Source organism: Homo sapiens, chromosome 6 (assembly GCF_000001405.40).
Source record: "Homo sapiens chromosome 6, GRCh38.p14 Primary Assembly".
NCBI classification, from domain to species: Eukaryota; Metazoa; Chordata; class Mammalia; order Primates; family Hominidae; genus Homo; species Homo sapiens.
In genome coordinates this window covers 63,563,878-63,584,103 of record NC_000006.12, presented here as the reverse complement: position 1 = coordinate 63,584,103, position 20,226 = coordinate 63,563,878, and the positions used below count along the sequence as shown (strand labels likewise).

The following is a 20,226-nucleotide window of genomic DNA, read 5'->3' as shown; positions in this document are numbered from 1 at the left end:
GCCTTTCAGCATGTGATAGAAATGCATTTCTGAGTTAAGTGACATGTATGATTTCTTAGTCAAGCTTTTAATCACCGTGAGACACTCTAAATCCCTTTTTGCCTTCTGTCACAGCTAGGTTTCTCCTAAAAATACAAAATTCCTGTATTAAAAATACAAAATTGGCCAAGTGTGGTAGCGCATGCCTGTAATCCCAGCTACTTGGGAGGCTGAGGCAGGAGAATCACTTAAACCCAGGAGGTGGAGGTTGCGGTGAGCCAAGATCAGGCCATTGCACTGCAGCTTGGGCAACAGCAAAACTCCATCTCAAAACAAAAAACAAAAAAAGTCATGCATATTTATTTACATAACTGTGTGGTGTAGTGGACCAGCTCAAACACAGGTCTGAATCCCTGACTTCTACCACTTATTAGCTAGTCCCCTATCTGGAGGCTCAAATCCCTTACTGTAAAATTGGGACAAGACTGTTGGAAGGGAATCAAATTATAAAAACTACCTGAAAATAAAATCATTAATAAATGGTAGCTATCAATTTATTAACTGGTTACTGCGGCAATATATATAATTATAAAATCACCATCAATCCTTTCATTCATACGTTAACACATATCACTGGTTTAATTCATTGAAGGCAAATACAAGTTTTTCCCTTACTTTCCTTCCAAGATTCCACTTAGGCTGGTTACCCCAAACGTAATGGAGAAACATTAAATGTCACTTTTAAACCACTTTTAAACCAGTCTTTAATTTTCAATTCAGGTGTGAGGCACATATATACACACAAACATATTAATTTAAGGAAGCAAGAATGTAGAATATTAACATGTATGGCAGACACTACTTCATGTATTTTGTTTAAAACTTAACTTTGAAATAACTTCATTGTTTACATGTAAAAGAAAAATATCATTCACTTATACTTCCACTTCCCTTTAAAGTATTCTCAAATTATATTTCCTGAAACTCCAATAGAAAGCATTCTCTCTTAATCATGGCAACGGGTCGGGTACTCATTGGTGACCAAAATCTGGTGACACCATCTTTTATGTTCTTTGCCATATTCTTAAATGCCTGGCAAACAGTAGATATTTACCAGATGAATATGACATTAAAAAAATAAATTTCAAGAGATTGAGATTCTTTAGCCAAGTTGAGGGACTACATCATTTTGAAGCACTCTAGAAGGGGGATGTGATTAAATGTGACTGCATGCCTGGGCTGGCTGCTTCTAGGTATAGAGCTGTGTTAAGGCGTGGGAATAGGAGAGCAATGCCCTAGGGAAAAGAGGGCACTAGGGGAAACAATGGTTGCAGTGCACTGCAGAATGACCAATGGCACCTACTTCCAGAGTTTTCCTTCAACTAAAAAGAGATGGCATTTTCTTATGATTCAGTAACCGCATTACTTACATCAACATTATGGTTGCTATAGACAAGCCTAGGTAGCTAGCCTCTATTTACATCATCCCACTAAGGGTATCCAAACCCAAGTAACCAAATTTTAGAACACTATCAGATAGTTTCCTGCATTCAAGACTTCAACTCATAACTCTTTGAACTCTTATTAGATATAAGGAATCTAAGATGTATTATAGGCATTCCTATAATTAGCCATATTTACAAGATACAAAATATTTGGATAAAAAGCAAATTTCATCACATCGTATAATGTACAGATAAGGTTTATAAAGTAAATTAATTTATTTTTAGCACCATATATACAATCCAAACACTGCAAATTAATTTCTTTTCAAACTCAAAAGATAGTTTTCATTAATCATGATGGCACATCCTCTCTCTCAATAAACGCAAATGCTGTTTTATGGGCTGTGTGGTAATAGTTTAACATTTAGTAATTGATTATATAAAATTATGTTCTCAAGACTAGGCTGCATTTCCTTTAAAAAAAAAACAAAACCTCAGGTTAAAAATTAGCCAAAAATTTGTGATTACTATCACAAATAATCCAAGATTTAAATAACCAAGGGCCTCCAGAGGCCCCTGTTCTTCCTTTTGCCCTGTCTAAAATCCAATGAAATATATTAAGTGTTAAACTGGTATGAAGAGGTGGAACTAAATTCTTTGAAACACAAGGTGGAGTATCACTTTTTACTTAAACTTTGAGTCCTTTACATTTATAACTGCTATTCAAAAAAAATTAGACAAAGACATCTAGATTTAGATTAACGTGATCAAAGGGATTATTGTGGATCATTAAAGGAAACTTAACATTAAGCCTTCATGTACCAAATACTAATATTTAAATTAATTTCAAAATCTATAAAGGTATGTAATTATTAATTTGCAAAGGAGAAAACTGAGGCTCAGAAGTTGCACAAAACCATGAACTAGTGGAACTGAGCTTTACAAACCAAGGCTGTCCTCTACTATACATTATTTCTCCTCAGTACACAATAATAAATTGGTTCAAAATTATCTAGACCTTTAAAAAGTATATAATGGAAAGTGCTTTTAGTATTAAAGTTTTCATGAATGACCCTAACAAATTTTGTCTAAAAGTTTACTAAAATGCTGACATCATTTATAATCCTTCATTTATTTGTAAAAAGATGAGGACACACATTAAGTGAAGTGCAATTCATTTTGTCTTCTACAAAATAAGTTAATTTTAAGCAAACCAATCTCAATGATGATAAATGCATGTCATTATTTATTTAGATGTTTCAGCTCTCGCACTAAGTTTTTACAAGCTGGTGAACACTGACAAAATTATTTCTCCCACAGAACTATAACCACACATCCCCAGACAGTATAAATATATGGTTGAACTAACATTAATACACATCACCATTTTATCAATTACATAATAAAACAAATTGTCAAGTATCCAAATATTAAGTTACACAGCTCAAAAGGCATATAAAATATTAGATGTCTGCTCAATTCATTAGCAGAAACCCATTTCTTTTTTTGCAAGAGAGGTTGGGAAGGAAAAAAAAAATCACACTTTCAAACAAAAATAAGTTGGTAAACACACTTCTGATAAGTATGGGAAAAAAATTACAAGAATTTCAGGAAGTTTATGATTACAATAACAAAGCATCTCTACCTTTTAAAAAAATATTTTACTAAATTAAAGAGCATATTCTACATGTTTGCACAAGACAAAGGCAACATTTTGCTAAAAATAATTAATAGCCCCCTCCCATTCTTTTCTCAGGCCCTCCCTGTTAAGTTGCACCTCAGAGTGCAAACATTAAATTAATGTAAGGCTTTTTTGTCTGAAGACATTAAAGACATGTGCTTCTGTACAACGTAGATTTTCAAAATGGAGGTTTTTTTAATACAGCACAAAGTGAGATACATGGAAACACGTAAAATAATCACTGTAAGACTTGGTAAAAAAAAAAAAAAATCAATGGTTAAGCAAACCTGACGTATATTGGTATGAATGTGGGAGATGTAAACATAAAGTGAGCAGGCAAATAACCATGTAGGCCCTACTTTCAATGTTTGAAATGATTGAAGGAATAAACCACATAAGGTCTAGTGTTCATAGTTCCTGGGATTTTACTTCTGTATGGTACTAAAAATATACAAGTATTGTGCTGGGTATTTTGGCACCTAATCTTCCTAAATTTCTTATGTATTGATAAGATTCTGGCATGGGAATAGATTTAACAAGTCATAACTCAATACTGCATGATTTGGGGAAAGGTCAATTGATACAAATGACAAGCACATTTTATATGCTGACAGCAAGAATCTTTTGCCAAGTATCCAAATAGGTTGACTGTAACCCAAATACAGAGGTTGCCAAATCTGTCTAGCTTGAGGCCTGGTAAAACTGCCTTTCAATACTCCTATGGAAGCTTCATTAGACTTACTAAGCCAACATGTTGGCTAATATGTATAACAAATTAGGCCCTATCTCAAGTTCCACTTCCAGTAGCATTAGGCACCCCAATTTTATTGAATGCAACAGTTGTTTCTATGACCGTTGGAATCTTTGAAACGCAGCCGCATTTTAGGACGATACTTCTCCAAATACAGAAGTTGCTTGCTGTTAAAAGCTCCACGCCGCTTTCTGGGAGGAAAAAAAAAAAAAAATGAAACAAGGCAAAAGCCCCCTACAGTAATATTTAGTGTCTTATAGACAACCATCACCTCTCTTGTGGCAATTTATCTTTTGATTAATTAGGCTGTGACCTGATGCAGAAAGGAATATGAACAGGCACATCAGTGTAAATGGAAAAAATCATAAAAAGTTAATTTTCTTTATATCTTCGTTTGAGTATTGGTTACAACAGTCGACTCACAAATCCATTTACACGTAAGTCCACGAAAAGACAAAACTAATTTATAGTGAAGTCAGAAGTTGCCTCTGGTAGCAGGGAAGATGACTACAAAAGCCACAAAGGCATGTTCTACAGCACTCAAAATATTCTATGTGTTGTATTGGATGGTTAATTTGGCTGTTATTGTCAACTGGTCTCCTTTGGAGACCTGTGCATTTTATTGTATCTTTAAATGTATCTTAATTATACCTCAATAAAAATACAAAATAACCAACATATTCAATCAAGTATTTAAAGCAAAACAATAATTCAAAAACTCTTGTTGGATTAGAATCTTAGTAATATGAGCAACTGCATGAAATGCAAAAAAGAATGTAAGATCTTGATTTCCTGGTTTTAATACTATCTCAAAAAATAATCATAATGATTAAATGGGCTATTAGACTATTAAACTCACTGACACTCAACAAGGAAATGAAAGAGAGTACAAATGAAAAGAGAATCCATTACTTACTGTCTTATGAATTGTACTGCATCTTCGTATTTCATTCCACCTTCAATTAATGCTAGGGCAACAAGTACTGGAGCTCTGGTGAGGTAAGAATTTTGATAAATAGTTTTTTCAAAATCAGATCTTTGTAAATTTATTTCTCCAAACATTCCCCAACTCAGAAGTATTATCTACCACCCTTCCTATTTAAGTAATACCTATGACAAATGTTGACTTTATATTAAAAAATTATAAGAATTTTTCAAGTTTCTGTATTTTCATTATCAATAGATTTTTACCTAGAATCAAATTGATAAATTCATTTACCTCCCAAGGCCTGCAACGCAATGAACAGCAATACAACAACCAGGTTCTTCACGAAACTTAATTTTCACAAGACTTAACCAGTCATCAACAATCTGGTTGGATGGTGGTGCACCATCATCAAAAGGCCAATCCTAAGTCAGAAGAATATTTAAACATTTTAGATCATTAATATAAACACTGTAGTAATAATTCTAAATTTCTAACATGGAAATGTTTTCAAAAGCATTCTCATTTTAATGTTTAATCAAATCTTATTAAACCCTGTTGTCTACCAAATGTGACTAAATGCTCAATCTTTACAAAAATGTTTCACAACTTCAAATCCTTGCTTAGCTTTTCACCTTTATTTAGAAATTAAGATTCTGCACAATAATATAATATTTGTTTTTAGCTTTTTGAGGTCTATTTATGACTTAAATAGATATTTATTTGAATTTACTATTTGAATAAACTTTTGTAGCACAGCACCATAAACCCATAAGAACTGTTAAATACTTACAAGAACATGGATACCTTCTTTCTCCACAAGAGTAGTGTCATAAGTTGCTTCACATACTCTTACTATTGTGGTAACTCCATACTTCTTAAGTTCCTGGATAAAACGTACATTAAAAAAATCTTAATGTTTAACCACATCACTATAACTCAACATTTTATATTCTGATCATCTCTGATCAGTAAGTATGCTGGTTAACAGAAGATCATTTAAAGAATGCTAGAATCCATTTATGTTTAACACAAAAGCAAATTTTGTTTTAAGTGACAATGCTAGAATATAAAAAGAAAAGTGAATATTAAATACCATACATATTTTTAATAAACTGGAAAAGTTTTCCTTCTTTTGTTTAAATTGTGTGCCCCCTTCATACACTGAAGTTGTTTACAGTCATGGTAATACCGGATTGGGATGAAACATTAACCAAAAGGGGCTAGCAGCAATGCAGACAAAGGTAAATGTAACTAAAGGCATTATTTATAACTAATCGGGTAATCTGACTTCACTCAATTATACTCACTCCTTAAACTTTACTGATTTACATTGAATGAAGTCTTAACTACAGTAAAAAAGCCCACATACCATTTAAAACTACAGGCTTCAAAATGCATTATTACTAATTACATATTACTAATATAATATACTATTATATACACTATATAGTATATATTAGTGTATATATAATATATAGTAATAAAAATTAAAGTACCATTAAAGTATTTCCCAGCCAGGCGTGGTGGCTCACCTGAGGTCAGGAGTTCGAGACCAGCCTGGCCAATATGGTGAAACTACATCTAAAAATACAAAAATTAGCTGGGCAAGGTGGCGTACGCCTGTAGTCTCAGCTACTTGGGAGGCTGAGGCAGGAGAATTGCTTGAACCCGGGAGGCAGAGGTTGCAGTGGGCTGAGATCATGCCACTGCACTCCAGCCTGGGTGACAGAACGAGACTCCATCTCAAAAAAAGGAAAAAAAAGTATTTCCATTATGTTCTGAGAGGCCTATTTGCTATTTCTTAACAACTGTAGGTATTTATAAAATAAAACATGTGCACATCCCGATATATTATTCAGCATTCAATTCCTTTCTCCTAGTAAAAAGAGGCAGGTAGAGTTTTGGCTACATAGCTACCATTAGGAAGGAACAGAATTTGTAGTTGAAAATTGGATTCTAAGCATCAGATGGGGTTCAAGAAAAACCAACTGGTTTATGGCATTAGTCATTAGGTTAAGCAGATATATAAAAAATCCATAAATGGCAACCTTTCCCATGTAAATTTCTTACAAGATAAGTAAGAGCTATACTGTTTTACTGTCCACATACCAATTCAAGCAAACTCAGGTACAATAACTATTAACTCAAGCACATGCCCTTCTCAAAATGTACAAATATACCTCTAACCTATAGAAGACATTGACATTTATTTCTGGGAACTGGAATTGTAGGTATATCATCTCATTTTTTCCAAAGTAGTTTTTATTTTGTTAGCTATAAGTCCCACTATTATATTGCAATCAATTTAAGCTACTAAAACATATCAAATCTTACCTCTATAAATTTGTTTAAGGTCGCATTGGTTGGATTGTGTGTAATAAGAAATCTCATGTTCTTGTATGTGACTTCCACAGGAGCTGGGCGGTTCATTCGAGCCATGTTAATTTAGTTAAAAAACACTCAATAGGGTTATGAAATAATTAAAAAAATTGAATACAGAAATGATGCAAAGAAACTGAAGTCTACTTCAATATACTCCACTTGAAATTCTCAGTGCTTTGAGTATGAAGTTGTAAGTAATGATAAGTGAAATGAACCTCCTAACAAGAAGCAGCAATTCTTCAATCCAGTAATACTGAGGCCAACAGAAAAGAAGTGCACTGAGGTTTACCCCATCCAGGTCAGAACTCTTGTAAAATGCTCTGTGGATTTCAATTCAACACTTCTGTGTCCAGGATAACCACTCTTATGGGGGCTTCTTGGTGGAGCAGTAATCAGTTTCTACAGTTCACTTGTCTGCATAGAGGTCGTGCTGTGCCTGGCAGTAATCTCCACTGCCCTTCAGAAACTCCATAAATGTGTGACCAAGAACACCACAGAATTGCTGTTTAAAAGAAAAAGACAGAAAGAGAGAATAAGTTATTTTCCAATTCAAAAGAAATACATTAGGGTTTTACACTATTTAAGTACACAACTATTTTTCTAAAGCAGGGCCTGAGCCGCTTCATCGACTTTTACTTGAATTGCAAAACTCAAGGGGTGAGTACAGATTAAATCAATCAGCATAAAACAAGCAGTCAGATAGATTAAACTGAAATCCATGATCTATTACCAAGATTCCTCAGAAAAAAAAACCAAACCCATTGTTACATTTTTGTGAAATTCATATATATATTCATATATATTCTATCTAGTTATATTCTCTGTATATATACTATCTATATATAATATATAATTATATGATTCTAATAATTATCCCTTTCGATAGTTGTTTTCTTTACATTGTAATTACATACACTTTATGTTGATTTTTCCAACTAACAAAAACATTTTTACACATTAATACAAACTCCAGATAACTCTGAAGTTATTAGTCTTGCATAATTTACTTAACTCATAAACTGAAACATCTAAGTTCTTTTCCAACTTTATGCTTTTATATCCTTTTCTTAGACTGATTTAAGTCCTATATTTAGAATCTCACTTTATCCTTAACAATCTGTTATCATTCCCATTAAACTGAAGACGAGGAAAATGAGTCTCTGAAAATCAACTTGTTATGTGAAATATCATAAGAATGTATGCTTATGAATCTAAAAAGGAAACAACTCTCATTTATAACTGTAAAGAAAATATTCATAATTTTAATAATGTTCTTTTGTATTTTAAAACCAAAATTTCACATATACAACTCAAAACTGAAATCCAACTCAGAGAAGGCGGACAAAGGGATGTTGAAGGTGGAAGTGGCAGGTCTCAAAAGCAAGGTAACTACTGTAACCAATAAATATAAACAAATATGAATGTATTTATATTTTCTCTAAGTTCCCCCTTAAGAACTAAACCATTTTTATGCCAATATCAAACATTAAACCAATAGTCACAGCATATTTTTAAAATATGTACATGGAAGACACTGATGTTAATAATCAGTCTTCTTCCAAATAGTTTATAAGGTACTTGTGTACTCGGGAGTAAAGAGGGCACTAAGGAAAGTATTAATAACAGGTTAACAAGAGCAGTAATTCATAGTCACTGCCTCAAGCACTTCATGTGTACTCTCATTACCAAAGTGTTTTAACAAAAGGTTCCATTAGTTTCCATGCTTAAATTTAAGCATTTGAAGTCTTAAAATTAAAATTCAAACGATCTGCTCCCATTTCCATTTTACACCTTTAAATAGTCCCATGCTAGTTATAGTTTCTAGAACTTTGCTAAATTTTGAAGAATAATTCTTATGATGATTACTGCAGAAAACATCAAGTCAAAAACCCAGTCTACTTTTCTGGTAAAACATACAACTAGCATTAACAATCATTTATCAAAAGGTCCCATAAAAAAGGTAACTTTCATTATCACAAGTTTGTTCAAACAAGCCCTCAGAGGTTACTTCACCTAGTTGGTCAGCTGGGTTAAAAAATTAAGTGTCTAAATTACAAAGCCATCACAGTTACAGTGAATACAGATTGTAGTAATCTGAAAATAATTTCATTATACTTTCACCCCAAATTCTAAATACAACCTCCGTAGAATAAAAAGTGTATTCTGACACTTTCCCAATGACATACAATGATCTTTAAAAGCTTTATAATGACTCATCACAGTATTCTAATTTCTAGGTATTACCTTTTTTTCAATTAAAAGCTAATTTGAGGCAGTATTTCACACCACTATTTCCATATTTAATAGCTAAAACTCCTGTCGGCTACAACCTAGTCTGGCCATATCCCTTCATGTAAGTAAGCACTTTCATCAGGAAGCAGAGAAAGAACTATATTAAGAATTCCCTTCCTGAAATGGTTATTTTTACTGAGTGGAGCCACCTAGTGGATGGGGGGACTCGTCTGTTAAAGCAGTGGTGGCCACCGATAGATTTCTGTTCCGCCCAAGACACTCCTCCATTCCCAATCTCCTACCCACAGGAAAAACTATCCATAATGGGGATTTTTTCCCTCCCACCTATCAGTTGCATTATAATCACAATCATATACAAGAAGGGAGAGGAGGAAAGAGTAATCTCTGTGCAGAAGCTTAAATCATTATTATACTGCAGAGTCAAGCCAATTAATGTGTGTAACTCCTTTGTCACAAACAATTCGTTGTATAGTCTGTTCCACATCTATTTAGGTCTTAGGGCACCTAAGAAAGCATGTGTAAAATGCTGCTCACTCTTGGGAATGATTTAGTTTTCTAGTTTTCAACTGACTGAGTAACAGGAAGCACTGCCTCAGGATCTAGATGTCGGGCAGGTCAACAGTTCCAATCGTAGTGTAAATAACTTAATACTCGTGGACTGGTAGGGGGCTCCGCGGACAGAAGATAAAAAACCCTCAGAATTCCGTCTCTGGTTGGCTACTGCTGCCACAAACCAACAGGAGGCAACAACATATTACACCACAGAGCTCAGGGATAGTTCTAAACAGTCCCCGATTAAAAGGCGCCATCCAGGGCCCTTCCAAAATTGGCAGGGGAAATGTATGCTGGTGCCCGGACGGGAAGTCCTTCGCGTCAGTGTAACTAACAGTAGCCCTGTCAGTTTCCAAGACGCTCCGAACCAGGCCATTTCTCGACGACTGGCCCAGAGAAAGGACAAGACTAGACTTGTTCCCATTATCACGAGCCCGAGGTGGGGCGATAAATCCGGAACAGCTCGAATTACCAGGTGGAGCCTGGGAGGAGGGCGGGGCGGACGGCCGAAGTTCTCACCTAGCAGAACCCCACTCTGGCCCGGGCAGGGGTGCAGCTCGCGGAATGCCCCAGAGGGCCGCCGCCCCGCGCACGCGGCTGTGTGCGCCCGAGCACGCCCGCTGCGCCCCCTCTCCGCGCCGCAATCACGGGTTCGCGCCGCGCCTTCAGTCAGGCGCGGGCGCCGAGGCCATTTTGTCTGAGGCTCGGGTCCCGGCCGTCGAGCACAAGAGTGTAGCTGCACCCAGTGGCTGTCCCGCGCCCACCCCGGAGCTCCGAGAAGCTCTGGAACCAGATCGTTACCACCCGTGCCTGGCTGTCCGGCCTACCCCACGCCCGCCCGGATCTGGAGGCGAACCCGCCACCGCCGCGCCCTCCCCGTATCCGGCTCCGCAGTGACACGCGCAGCCCTCGCCCCACCCCGGGCCACGTCTCCCGCTCCCAGTGCAGCCACTCTCCTCCGGCCGAACAAAGAGGCCCCGGGACGCCGCGGAGCCTGCCATGCCCGGACGGGTCGCGCCAGACCAAAGGGCCAAGGGCGGAGGCGGCGGTCACAAAGCGGCTTTTGTGCCACCCACCCGGCCCGCTGCGGAAGCCGAAACTGCCCCCGGCCGCCGCAGAAGCCGGACCGCGCCGCCCCCGTCGCTCCGGGCTCGGGAGGGACTCAAAAGCCGGTGCCTCCGGCGGCCAACCGCCACCCCGCAGCCCCGAGGGGCCCGGCATCTGCCTCCGCACAGCCGGCCGCAATCGGCCGGCCACAGGGCCATAACCCGCCCGCTCCCACCCGGGACCCACCGGAACCGCAACCCGGGGCAACCTGGAGGAGACGCCGGGCTCCGAACAAAGGCGACAGCGGGGATGGGGGGCCGGTCGTGGATTCCCAGCCCGAGAGGCGACGATGCGACGGCTACTCACAGGAATATGTTTACTCATTGAAGATTGTGGCCTAATCATACAGCCGGTCCCGAGGCGGCGGCGACACAGGCGGTGGCGGTGGCTGCAGGGCAGGAGGCGGCGGTGGTCGTGGCGGAGCGGCGGTGGCGGCGATGCAGGCGGCGGCGGGGGCACCAGACTCTACCATGCAGTGAGCGGCTCGGAGCAGAGCGCGTAGCCGAGCCGGCCCGCAGCCGAAGGAGCCAATACACGCGCCGAGGCGCCCTTGCGTCACAAGCCCTCCCCTTTATAGCCGGCGCGACGTGCAACCCTCCAGCCACCAATCGCGGCCTGGAACCGCGGGCCAGGAGCCGACAGGCGGGGGCGGAGGCCCGCCCCCTCCGGACGTCACTCCGCGGCGGCCGCCGCCGGTGTGAACCGGTTGATGAATGGCTAAGCGCCGAGTCGGAGCATCCCCGGGGCGGGGGAGGGAAGGGGCTGCCGGGAGTGCTCCGGGATGCAGGAAGCCTGAAGTTAAGAAGGGGTGGGAGCGAGAGAGATTCCGATTTATCGACTGGAAGGAATCATGCTGCAAACCACGTTTCTCATAATTAAAACGGTCCAGGAGTGCACACATGTCACATGAGGAGACTCGAAGTTTGCCTGAATCGTAAAATGCAATCCTTCTAGGGCTGGAACCGCGTCTCAGTGTCGAGCCTGCTTTCTACTGCCTTAACCACGGTCATCTTTGCCAGTGGTTTACCTTGGCACCTGGGCCCCGAGTACCTTCGTCATCAAATAATATTTATGTCGCAAGACCGCTGTACCCGGTGACTCAACACCTTGCATGCCACGGCCTTAGGCTTGGTCAAGATGAATTCTTGTCCCTGGGGGCGCTTTCAAGCGGGGAGAAACTTACCTTCGCAAAACTTAAGGCTATAGAAGATGGGGAGAGTATCTTTTGATGCAGACGAAGCCCTATGCTCCCTATATTCTTTTTTTGATCACACCTCTCTATACTACGTACGCGTGCAACTGCAGTTGGCTCAATTGTGGCATTTCGAAATCACATGCATCCTTTGTACTGCTGCTCACTTGATATGTTGTCTCAGATAATGAAAGGTTAGGAAGTGCTTAAAGAAAGCGTTTTTAGAAATTAAGAATCCTCGGTTTTGTCAAGCACTGATGTAATTCTTTGCGTCAAAGCTAAAGCTCTTCTTTATGTTCGTTTTCAGTCCTCTTTTACTGACTTCATTATTTAAGCCCCTAAGAAGTAAAGTCTTATCGCAATTCTGTGCCATACAAGGGCACCTCTGTTATTTATAATCTGAAAACCCTTTCTCCTCAGCTCTGGAGAAGGACCAAACAGGACCTTTACCTGCTTTTTAAGAACTCAGTTTTCCACTAACACTGAAGCCTTTTGTTTGTTATTTTCACCGAGTATGAGATTGGAGAGGGCTTTAGGGATCAAATTTTGTCCTCTTTCAGTGCCCTGCAACATCTTAGGATTTATTAGAACTTCTATTTAGAGACTGGTTGTATAGTTATTCAACTTTCTTAACTCTGTAAGTAAAATAAGAACTTTAAAAAAACAAAAACAAACAAAATCCTGGGCCAGACTTTCAAAGGAACAAAAACTCTTCGTCATTTGGAAGAAAATGGCTCACCTACGACACATTTTAATCCATTAAAATCAAGGAAAACTAGCACACTTGAGAAATATGTCCCTTTACAAATAAATGATTTAAAAAAGTAAAGACTTTAAAATCTTAAATTCTAAGAAAATATAGAAAGCTTAAAAATCTTGGGTGGTAGGGGCAAAGCTAAGCAGGCTGGGGAACTCATGTCGAAAAAAAGGGACAGATTTCATATATAAGAACTAAAAACTTTTATATGGCAAAAGGCTTTTGACAAATGTCAATTTCACACTGGGGGAAATATTGGTGATACTTCATGGGTAGGGTTAATATAAAAAGCTTGGCCAATGTATATAATAGTGTAGTTAAAAAGCACATATTCAGTCAGCCACTCTTACTCCACAAGTTGGTAAACACAGATAATTGGAATAGTGAAACTTTTTCATGTAATGGCATTTCAAAAAATACATTTGGTGGGACAAGATATAAACTCAGCAAATGATTAACAGAGCCAAATATGTGTTAGCCAATTTTCTTGTAGAACTTGTGATACAAGTTGTGAGCCTTGTGATCCACAGATCCTGTAATTACCACAAGCAGTGCTGACACGAAGTATCCAGTCAGCTATGCTCATCAAGTTCTAAAAGCTCTCAAATTCTCAAGTGGCCTGGGGGTCTTAGCCTCTCAGACAAGGTACCATCTTATCCTACTATGAAAGTAACATATTTAAAGGATGAAAAAATAAGGCTTTTGCTGTTGAGAGAAACGATGCATTTTATTTTATGTATTTATTTGAGATGGAGTCTTGCTCTTTTGCCCAGGTTGGAGCACAGTGGTGCAATCTTTGCTCACTGCAACCTCAGCCTCCTGGGTTCCAGCAATTCTCCTGCCTCAGCCTCCCAAGTAGCTGGGATTACAGCCACCTGCCACCACACCTGGCTAATTTGTTTGTACTTTTAGAAAACTCCATGTTGACTAGGCTAGTTTTGAACTCCTGACCTCAAGAGATCTGCCTGCCTCAGTCTCCCAAAGGAAAGGACACATTTTAAACAAGATATAAGTGTGGTCTTGCTGACCAATCCATTAAATGTTCCTGCTTGTCAGCTGCCATTGTGGTTCACTGCTATGCTGAGGGTGTCTGCTGTATTTAGTTTAATACTTTTAAGCTGCAGATTCTTGGAGAACAGTAGAACATCCCAGCATTGGTCAGGAGACTTCTGTGATTTGAGGACTCACTAACCCTTACAGACTTGCACTCAGAGCATTAGCACCTGTACTTATTTAAAGTGGGTCTCTAACAGACTTGAAAATAGTGCTTCCAGACATCAAAAAGGGAGAAAACACCTCTAAAAGCCAATGCTTACTCTAAGCTCCAGGAGAGGCTCTAAAATAGAGGATTTTCTCTCCTGCTAAACAAGATTCTCAGCTGGAAGTTACTTCTCTCAGCAAAACATGTGTCCTTAACCTCATCACGATAGGCAGGGCTTTCTATTGACAATTCAAAATATAAAAGCCAGCAGTTGGGAAATAAGACTAGAAGAATATTATAAGGAAGTTGAGCATGGTGGCATACAGGCTCATGCCTGTAATCCCAGTACTTTGGGAGACCAAGGTGGGTGGATCACCTGAGATTAGGAGTTAGGAGTTCAAGACCAGCCTGGTCAACATGGTGAAACCCATCTCTACTAAAAATACAAAAAATTAGCTGGGCATGGTGGCAGGCACCTCTAATCCCAGTTACTTGGGAGGCTGAAGAAGGAGAATCACTGGAAAGCTGGGAGGCAGAGGCTGCAGTGAGCCGAGATCATGGCACTGCACTCTAGCCTGGGAGACAGAGTGAGACTTCATTTCAAAAAAAGAATATTATAAGCGATATTTTTATGGAAGAGGAAAGACTGCAGAAGGCAAGAGTGCAGAGGAAGATTGGCAAATCTTGATGAAGAAGAACAGAGAAATCTTCACAAGAACAGCAGATCTAGTAAACATTGATTCCATTTTACCAAGTTTACAAAAGGAGTGAAGGATTCCTTGATTTTCAATCTTCTCAGATTGGTTGGGGCTACAAGGAAGTCTGATAAAAACATTTAACATAGCAAGAGTAATATCATTGCCATAATAGATTAAACGTGACAATATCAACCTAGAAAAAGACACTAGATTGCAAGGTATAATGACAGTCTAGCAAATATATGTAATAGAGGCAAATACCCCAATGGGCCATAATCTAGTAAGTGTCTGGATACTAGTGCAGAGGGTAAGTTCCCATACCCATATTTAACAAGAGTCCTAAAAATTCAAGTATGCCATGGCTGCTGTCAGCATTGTTAAAGTTTATTTCCCTCTTGCTGTTTTAGAACAGCCTATTTTATATCCAATTAATTTTCTTATATGATTATTAAAAATAAATATGTAGTATACAGGCATACCTTCATTTATTGTGCTTTGCAAATATTGTTTTTTTTTTTTAACAAAATGATGGTTTGTGACAGCTTTTTGTCGAGCAAGTCTATCAGAGCCATTTTTCCAATAGCATGTGCTCATTTCATGTCTCTGTGTTACATCTTGGTAATTCTCCCAATATTTCAAACTTTTAAATTATTATTGCATTTGTTATGGCAATTTGTGAACAGTGATCTTTGATATTGTTATTGGAATTGTTTTGGGCCACCACAAACTGTACCCATTTAAGATGGCAAACTTATTTGATAAATGTTGAATATATTCTGACTGCTCCGCTGATGGGCCAGTCCCTCAGTGAGACACAGCAATACTGAAATTAGGCCAATTAATAACCCTACAGTGGCCTCTGAGTGTTCAAGTGAAAGGAAGAGTCATTCATCTCTCACTTTAAATCAAAGCTAAAAATGATTAAGCTGAGTAAGGCAAGTTGAAAGCAGAGATAGGCCGAAAACTAGGCCTCATACCCAAAACAGTCAAGTTGTGAATGCCAAGGAAAAGCTCTTGAAGGAAGTTAAAAGTGCCACTCCAGTGAACACAGGAATGATAAGAAAGTGAAACAGCCTCATTGTTGATAAGGAGAAAGTTTTAGAGTTCTGGATAGAAAACCAGCCACAGCATTCTCTTAAGTCAAAGCCTAATTCAGAGCAAGGCCTTAACTCTCTTCATTTTTATGAAGGCTGAGAGAGGTGAGGAAGTTGTAGAAGAAAAGTCTGAAGATAGCAGAGGTGGATTCATGAGGTTTAAGAGTAGAAGCCCTCTCCCTAACATAAAAATGAAAGGTGAAGCAGTAAGTGCTGATGGAGAAGCTGCAGCAAGTTATTGAGAAGATTTAGCCAAGAACATTGATGAAGGTGGCTACACTAAATAACAGATTTTCAATGTAGACAAAACAGTCTTATACTGGAAGAAGATGCTGTCCAAGACTTTCATAGCTATAGAAGTCAATGCTTGGCTTCAAAGCTTCGAAGGACAGGCAGTTCTCTTGTTAGGGGCTGATGTGGCTGGTGACTTTAAGTTGAAGCAGATGTTCATTTACCATTCTGAAAATCCTAGGACCCTTAAAAATTATGCTAAATCTACTCTGCTGTGCTCTATAAGTGGAAGAACAAAACCTGGTTGACAGCACATCTGTTTAGCATGGCTCACTAAATATTTTAAGTCCACTGTTGAGACCTACTGATAAAACGTGATTTATTTAAAAATACTATTGCTCCTTGACAATGCACATGGTCACTGAAATGCTCTGATGGAGATGTACAAGGAGAGTAATATTGTTTTCATGCCTTCTAACACAGCATCCATTCTGCAACCCATGGATCAAGGAATAATTTTGACTTTCAGGTTTTAATATTTAACAAGTACATTTCATAAGGTTATAAATTGCTGTAGATGGTGATTCCTCTGATGGATCTAAGCAAAGTAAACCAAAAACATTCTGGAAAGGATTCTAGATGCCATTAAGAACATTCATGAGAGGAGGTAAAAGTATCAGCATGAACAGGAGTTTGAAAGAAGTTAACTCCAACTCTCATGGATGACCTTGAGGGCGTTCAAGACTTCAGTGGAGGAAATCACTACAAATATGGTGAAAATAGCAAGACAATTGGAGTTAGAAACAGAGTCTGAAGAGTTGACTAAATCGCTGCAATTTTATGATCAAACTTGAATGAATGAGGAGTTGCTTCTTATGAAGGAGAAAAGAGAGTGGTTTCTTGAGATAGAATCTACTGCTGGTGAAGATGCCGTAAGCATTGTTGAAATGATAAAGGATTTAGAATATCACATAAACTTAGCTGATAAAGCAGTGGGTGAGTTTTAAGAGGACTGATTGCAACTTTGAAAGGAGTTCTCTTGTGTGTAAAATACTATCAAACAGCACTGCCTGCTACAGAGAAATTTTTTGTGGAGTCATCAATGCAGCAAACTCCATTGTCTTATTTCAAGAAATTGCCACAGCCACCTTAACCTTCAGCAACTACCTCCCTGATCAGTCAGCTGCCATCATCACTGAGGCAGGATTCTCCAACAGCAAAGATTATGACTTGCTGAAGGCTCAGATGACTGTTAGCATTTTTTAGCAAAAGTATTTTTAAATTAAGGTATTCTAGGGTACCCGTTTTCCCCACTTCCTTTCTGTGTCTTGACCAAAATCACAGTGACCCAGCCAGCTGTAGCCATAGGTTTTCCTCAGCTGGCTTGAACCCAAACCAGCTTGAACATTCCCAGGCACTGATAATAATGTCTTGGTTTACTGGAAAGAAACTGACCCCGACCCTGAGCCGAATTCCTTAAATTTTCATGTAAACTCCATCCCCTCACCCCCTGGCTACAGACTAATGTGGGTAAAACATCCCTTTTCTCTTGCTGTCCATCACAATAATACATTGCAACACCCTGCAAGTTCCTTTAATAAATGTTTTGGACTGATCACTCTGGCATTTAGAGCTGCTTTCTTTGAAATCTCAAACCAGCCCTGTCTTCAAATGGTTTGGGGTACTCTGTTGTACGAATTCTCCTGCTGCTGCTTTTAAGGCAACTCCAGCTATGGGTTCAGTGGGACAAAACAGGTATGTACATTTTTTAGACATAGTGCTATGCACATTTAACAGACAACAATGTAGTGTAAATGGGAAACCAAAAAATGCATGTGGCTTCCTTTATTGTAATACCTGTTTTATTGTGGTGGTCTGGAGCTGAACTTGCAATATCTCCAAGGTATGCCTATGCTTAAATCTCTATGAACATATAATTTGCAGTGCTTAAATATTGTTCAAAACTAAAACATGCTCTATATTAAAAAGTGACTTAATTTTCTTCCTTAAGACATTGATTTAAAGATTTATCAAAAGTCTTTTGAGTAAGTTTTGATGAATAATCAAAATGCTGTAGCAGAGCTACATCCTAATTTCTGTGGGAAATTTAGACACAGAAATTTCCAATGAGCAAATAAGCTTGTCACAACAAGCCTTTTAAGGAATCTGGCCTAAGGACAAAGTCCAAAGGCCAATAGCTGCCTGTGGGCTACTGTGTTTTGTTGAGTCAGACATATAGAAACAGTCACCCACCTAGGAGGGTACTACAGATGTAAATATTTATATTAATAAATGAATCCTGCTGGATCAGAAGTAACATCTTATCAAGTCATCATATCAAACCATTTGAGGTAATATTTTCTCTGTAAAATTGATTAAGGCAGTTTTGAACAACTTTTTTTTTTAAAGTCTATTTTAAGAAACAATTCTCTTGAATCGATCTCTATTATGCCCATTCTCTGTCCCTTTTTCATGTCTAATTGTAATCAATTTAAATATAAACCTGAAAGTTGTCTAGGTAGTCTCCAAATCAAATGAGAATGTGTATTCACATTAGTAACTCTGCCGCTTAATATAGTATTTACTTCTGTAGGAGCTTAGTGTGTGTATTAAGATGTGACAGATACCGCCTGGGCAACACAGTCAGACCCTGTCTCTACAAAAAAAAAAAAATTATCTGGGCATGATGGTGCATTCCTGTAGTTGTAGCTCCCTCGGAGGTTGAGGTGGGAGGATTGCTTGAGCCCAGGAGTTGTTAGGGCTGCAGTGAGCTGTGATCATGCCACTGCACTCCATCTGGGGCAACAGACCAAAGACCCTCTCTCTCAAGGAAAAACAAAAAAGAAATGATGGACAGATTGATTAGTAAGAGAATACTTTTCATTTGCATGCTGAAAGGCACCATTTCCTTGGGGCACTGAATAAAGGACTTATTATGAATCTATCCATAACTCATGACTGTTTTGCCTACTGGTACCTGGAGGAATCTAGTTTGAGAAGACTCTTCTTATTTTAGCAAATTTGGTGAAATTTCTGTTGCTGTTCTATAGCCTGAATAAAAATCATTTGGGAATTGAAAATCAGGAAGGCCACAGTCTCCATGTGATTGTTTAGAACATGTTGAATTATGCCACAGTCTGAACTGAGGCAAAAATAGCTTAGGAAAGGAGAATTTAATCTGGCTAGAGAAAGGGAATGGAGTATAAATAAATTTTAAAGGTTGGATATGCATGCTATGGCAAAGCTGTCACTTGACAGGTTTAATTTACAGAGTTGGCATTTAGGCTGCAGATAATCCAGACAGACAGTGACCTAAGCAGCATTACTGGGGCAGGCCTTACATAAGGAGAAATGTTGTTGAACAATTTCCTGCAAGCATAATAACATTTATTTAACAAAAGCTACAACAGTCATGCTTTTTTCTTATCCTAACACAGTTGCTTTTTAACTAGGGATGTTCAACAAACGTTGCTATCTTCGTGTATTTCTATAGTTCCATTCATGGCTGGAAGATACTGAACATAAGAGAAAATGAGTATAGAAGCCTTTTGAAATTTCTCTCTTTTTTTTTTTTTTTGAGACAGAGTCTCGCTCTGTCACCCAGGCTGGAGTGCAATGGTGCAATCTTGGTTAACTGCAACCTCCGTCTCCCGGGTTCAAGTGATTCTCCTGCCTCAGCCTCCCAAGCAGCTAGGATTACCAGGCACCTGCCACCACACCCGGCTAATTTTTGTATTTTTAGTAGAGATGGGGTTTCTGCATGTTGGCCAGGCTGGTCTCGAACTCCTGACCTCAAATGATCCGCCTGCCTTGGCCTCCCAAAGTGCTGGGATTACAGGCGTGAGCCACCATTAAATATAGTTGTCCTATAATGTATTTCTTTAATCCTCAGACATATTAATGCACATAGTAAATACTCAACCACTATTTATTTGCATACTATCATATTACTTTCCCACATAAAATTCTATTAGG

The 20,226-nt window shown here is 38.9% G+C and overlaps 4 protein-coding genes across 21 annotated transcripts in view, besides 9 other annotated features; 2 read left to right on the top strand and 2 right to left on the bottom strand.

Moving 5' to 3' along the window:
- Positions 1–515: 515 nt before the first annotated feature.
- LOC128125822 (uncharacterized) lies at positions 516–11,624 on the bottom strand. The gene is made up of 2 exons (NM_001415059.2): positions 11,385–11,624; positions 516–7,668 (listed from the first exon to the last, which is right to left on the bottom strand). Exons 1-2 carry the CDS (start codon positions 11,421–11,423, stop codon positions 7,573–7,575), a joined length of 135 nt encoding a protein of 44 aa, NP_001401988.1. The 5' UTR covers positions 11,424–11,624; the 3' UTR covers positions 516–7,572.
- Positions 516–20,226, bottom strand: part of PTP4A1 (protein tyrosine phosphatase 4A1) — a 67,149-nt gene continuing 47,438 nt past the window's right edge. For 6 of the 18 annotated variants that reach the window (NM_001385255.1, NM_001385254.1, NM_001385258.1 and 3 more), the window contains 5 exons: positions 7,119–7,668; positions 5,575–5,667; positions 5,076–5,206; positions 4,773–4,847; positions 516–4,047 (listed from right to left, as the gene is read on the bottom strand). In NM_001385255.1, coding sequence (NP_001372184.1) covers positions 3,930–4,047; positions 4,773–4,847; positions 5,076–5,206; positions 5,575–5,667; positions 7,119–7,223 — 522 coding nt within the window. In that variant the 5' untranslated portion in view covers positions 7,224–7,668 and the 3' untranslated portion in view covers positions 516–3,929. Of the gene's footprint in view, positions 4,091–4,772; positions 4,848–5,075; positions 5,207–5,574; positions 5,694–6,316; positions 6,527–7,118; positions 7,669–11,286; positions 11,625–12,261; positions 12,306–20,226 lie in introns of those variants that run through there. The other 12 variants (NR_169594.2, NM_001385263.2, NR_169596.2 and 9 more) reach the window with 12 other exon arrangements.
- Positions 9,693–10,428: an enhancer, noted in NCBI's record as "NANOG-H3K27ac-H3K4me1 hESC enhancer chr6:64283581-64284316 (GRCh37/hg19 assembly coordinates)". NCBI's record gives its function as "activates a minimal SCP1, AML or CMV promoter by ChIP-STARR-seq in primed H9 embryonic stem cells {active_cell/tissue: H9 hESC(primed)}" and the evidence as "EXISTENCE:reporter gene assay evidence [ECO:0000049][PMID:30033119]".
- Positions 9,693–10,492: a biological region, named in NCBI's record as "NANOG-H3K27ac-H3K4me1 hESC enhancer GRCh37_chr6:64283581-64284316".
- Positions 10,123–10,492: an enhancer, noted in NCBI's record as "active region_24719". NCBI's record gives its function as "activates an Ori minimal core promoter by ATAC-STARR-seq in GM12878 lymphoblastoid cells {active_cell/tissue: GM12878}" and the evidence as "EXISTENCE:reporter gene assay evidence [ECO:0000049][PMID:35858748]".
- Positions 10,429–11,164: an enhancer, noted in NCBI's record as "NANOG-H3K27ac-H3K4me1 hESC enhancer chr6:64282845-64283580 (GRCh37/hg19 assembly coordinates)". NCBI's record gives its function as "activates a minimal SCP1, AML or CMV promoter by ChIP-STARR-seq in primed H9 embryonic stem cells {active_cell/tissue: H9 hESC(primed)}" and the evidence as "EXISTENCE:reporter gene assay evidence [ECO:0000049][PMID:30033119]".
- LGSN (lengsin, lens protein with glutamine synthetase domain) overlaps positions 10,497–20,226 on the top strand; it is a 297,657-nt gene continuing 287,927 nt past the window's right edge. The window contains exon 1 of the mRNA XM_047418866.1: positions 10,497–18,602. The gene's annotated coding sequence lies outside the window, so the exon portion shown is untranslated. The remainder of the gene's footprint in view (positions 18,603–20,226) is intronic.
- On the top strand, positions 10,536–17,869 carry LOC124901228 (translation initiation factor IF-2-like). Its single transcript, XM_047419610.1, has 2 exons — positions 10,536–10,572; positions 10,674–17,869. The coding sequence occupies exons 1-2, from the start codon at positions 10,536–10,538 to the stop codon at positions 11,417–11,419; spliced, it is 783 nt and encodes a 260-aa protein (XP_047275566.1). The 3' UTR covers positions 11,420–17,869.
- Positions 11,033–11,162: a silencer, noted in NCBI's record as "silent region_17309". NCBI's record gives its function as "represses an Ori minimal core promoter by ATAC-STARR-seq in GM12878 lymphoblastoid cells {active_cell/tissue: GM12878}" and the evidence as "EXISTENCE:reporter gene assay evidence [ECO:0000049][PMID:35858748]".
- Positions 11,165–11,900: an enhancer, noted in NCBI's record as "NANOG-H3K27ac-H3K4me1 hESC enhancer chr6:64282109-64282844 (GRCh37/hg19 assembly coordinates)". NCBI's record gives its function as "activates a minimal SCP1, AML or CMV promoter by ChIP-STARR-seq in primed H9 embryonic stem cells {active_cell/tissue: H9 hESC(primed)}" and the evidence as "EXISTENCE:reporter gene assay evidence [ECO:0000049][PMID:30033119]".
- Positions 11,463–11,882: a silencer, noted in NCBI's record as "silent region_17308". NCBI's record gives its function as "represses an Ori minimal core promoter by ATAC-STARR-seq in GM12878 lymphoblastoid cells {active_cell/tissue: GM12878}" and the evidence as "EXISTENCE:reporter gene assay evidence [ECO:0000049][PMID:35858748]".
- Positions 11,546–11,840: an enhancer, noted in NCBI's record as "tiled region #7882; HepG2 Activating DNase unmatched - State 1:Tss, and K562 Activating DNase unmatched - State 1:Tss". NCBI's record gives its function as "activates a minimal TATA promoter and a strong SV40 promoter by Sharpr-MPRA in HepG2 and K562 cells {active_cell/tissue: HepG2 | K562}" and the evidence as "EXISTENCE:reporter gene assay evidence [ECO:0000049][PMID:27701403]".
- Positions 11,901–12,638: an enhancer, noted in NCBI's record as "NANOG-H3K27ac-H3K4me1 hESC enhancer chr6:64281371-64282108 (GRCh37/hg19 assembly coordinates)". NCBI's record gives its function as "activates a minimal SCP1, AML or CMV promoter by ChIP-STARR-seq in primed H9 embryonic stem cells {active_cell/tissue: H9 hESC(primed)}" and the evidence as "EXISTENCE:reporter gene assay evidence [ECO:0000049][PMID:30033119]".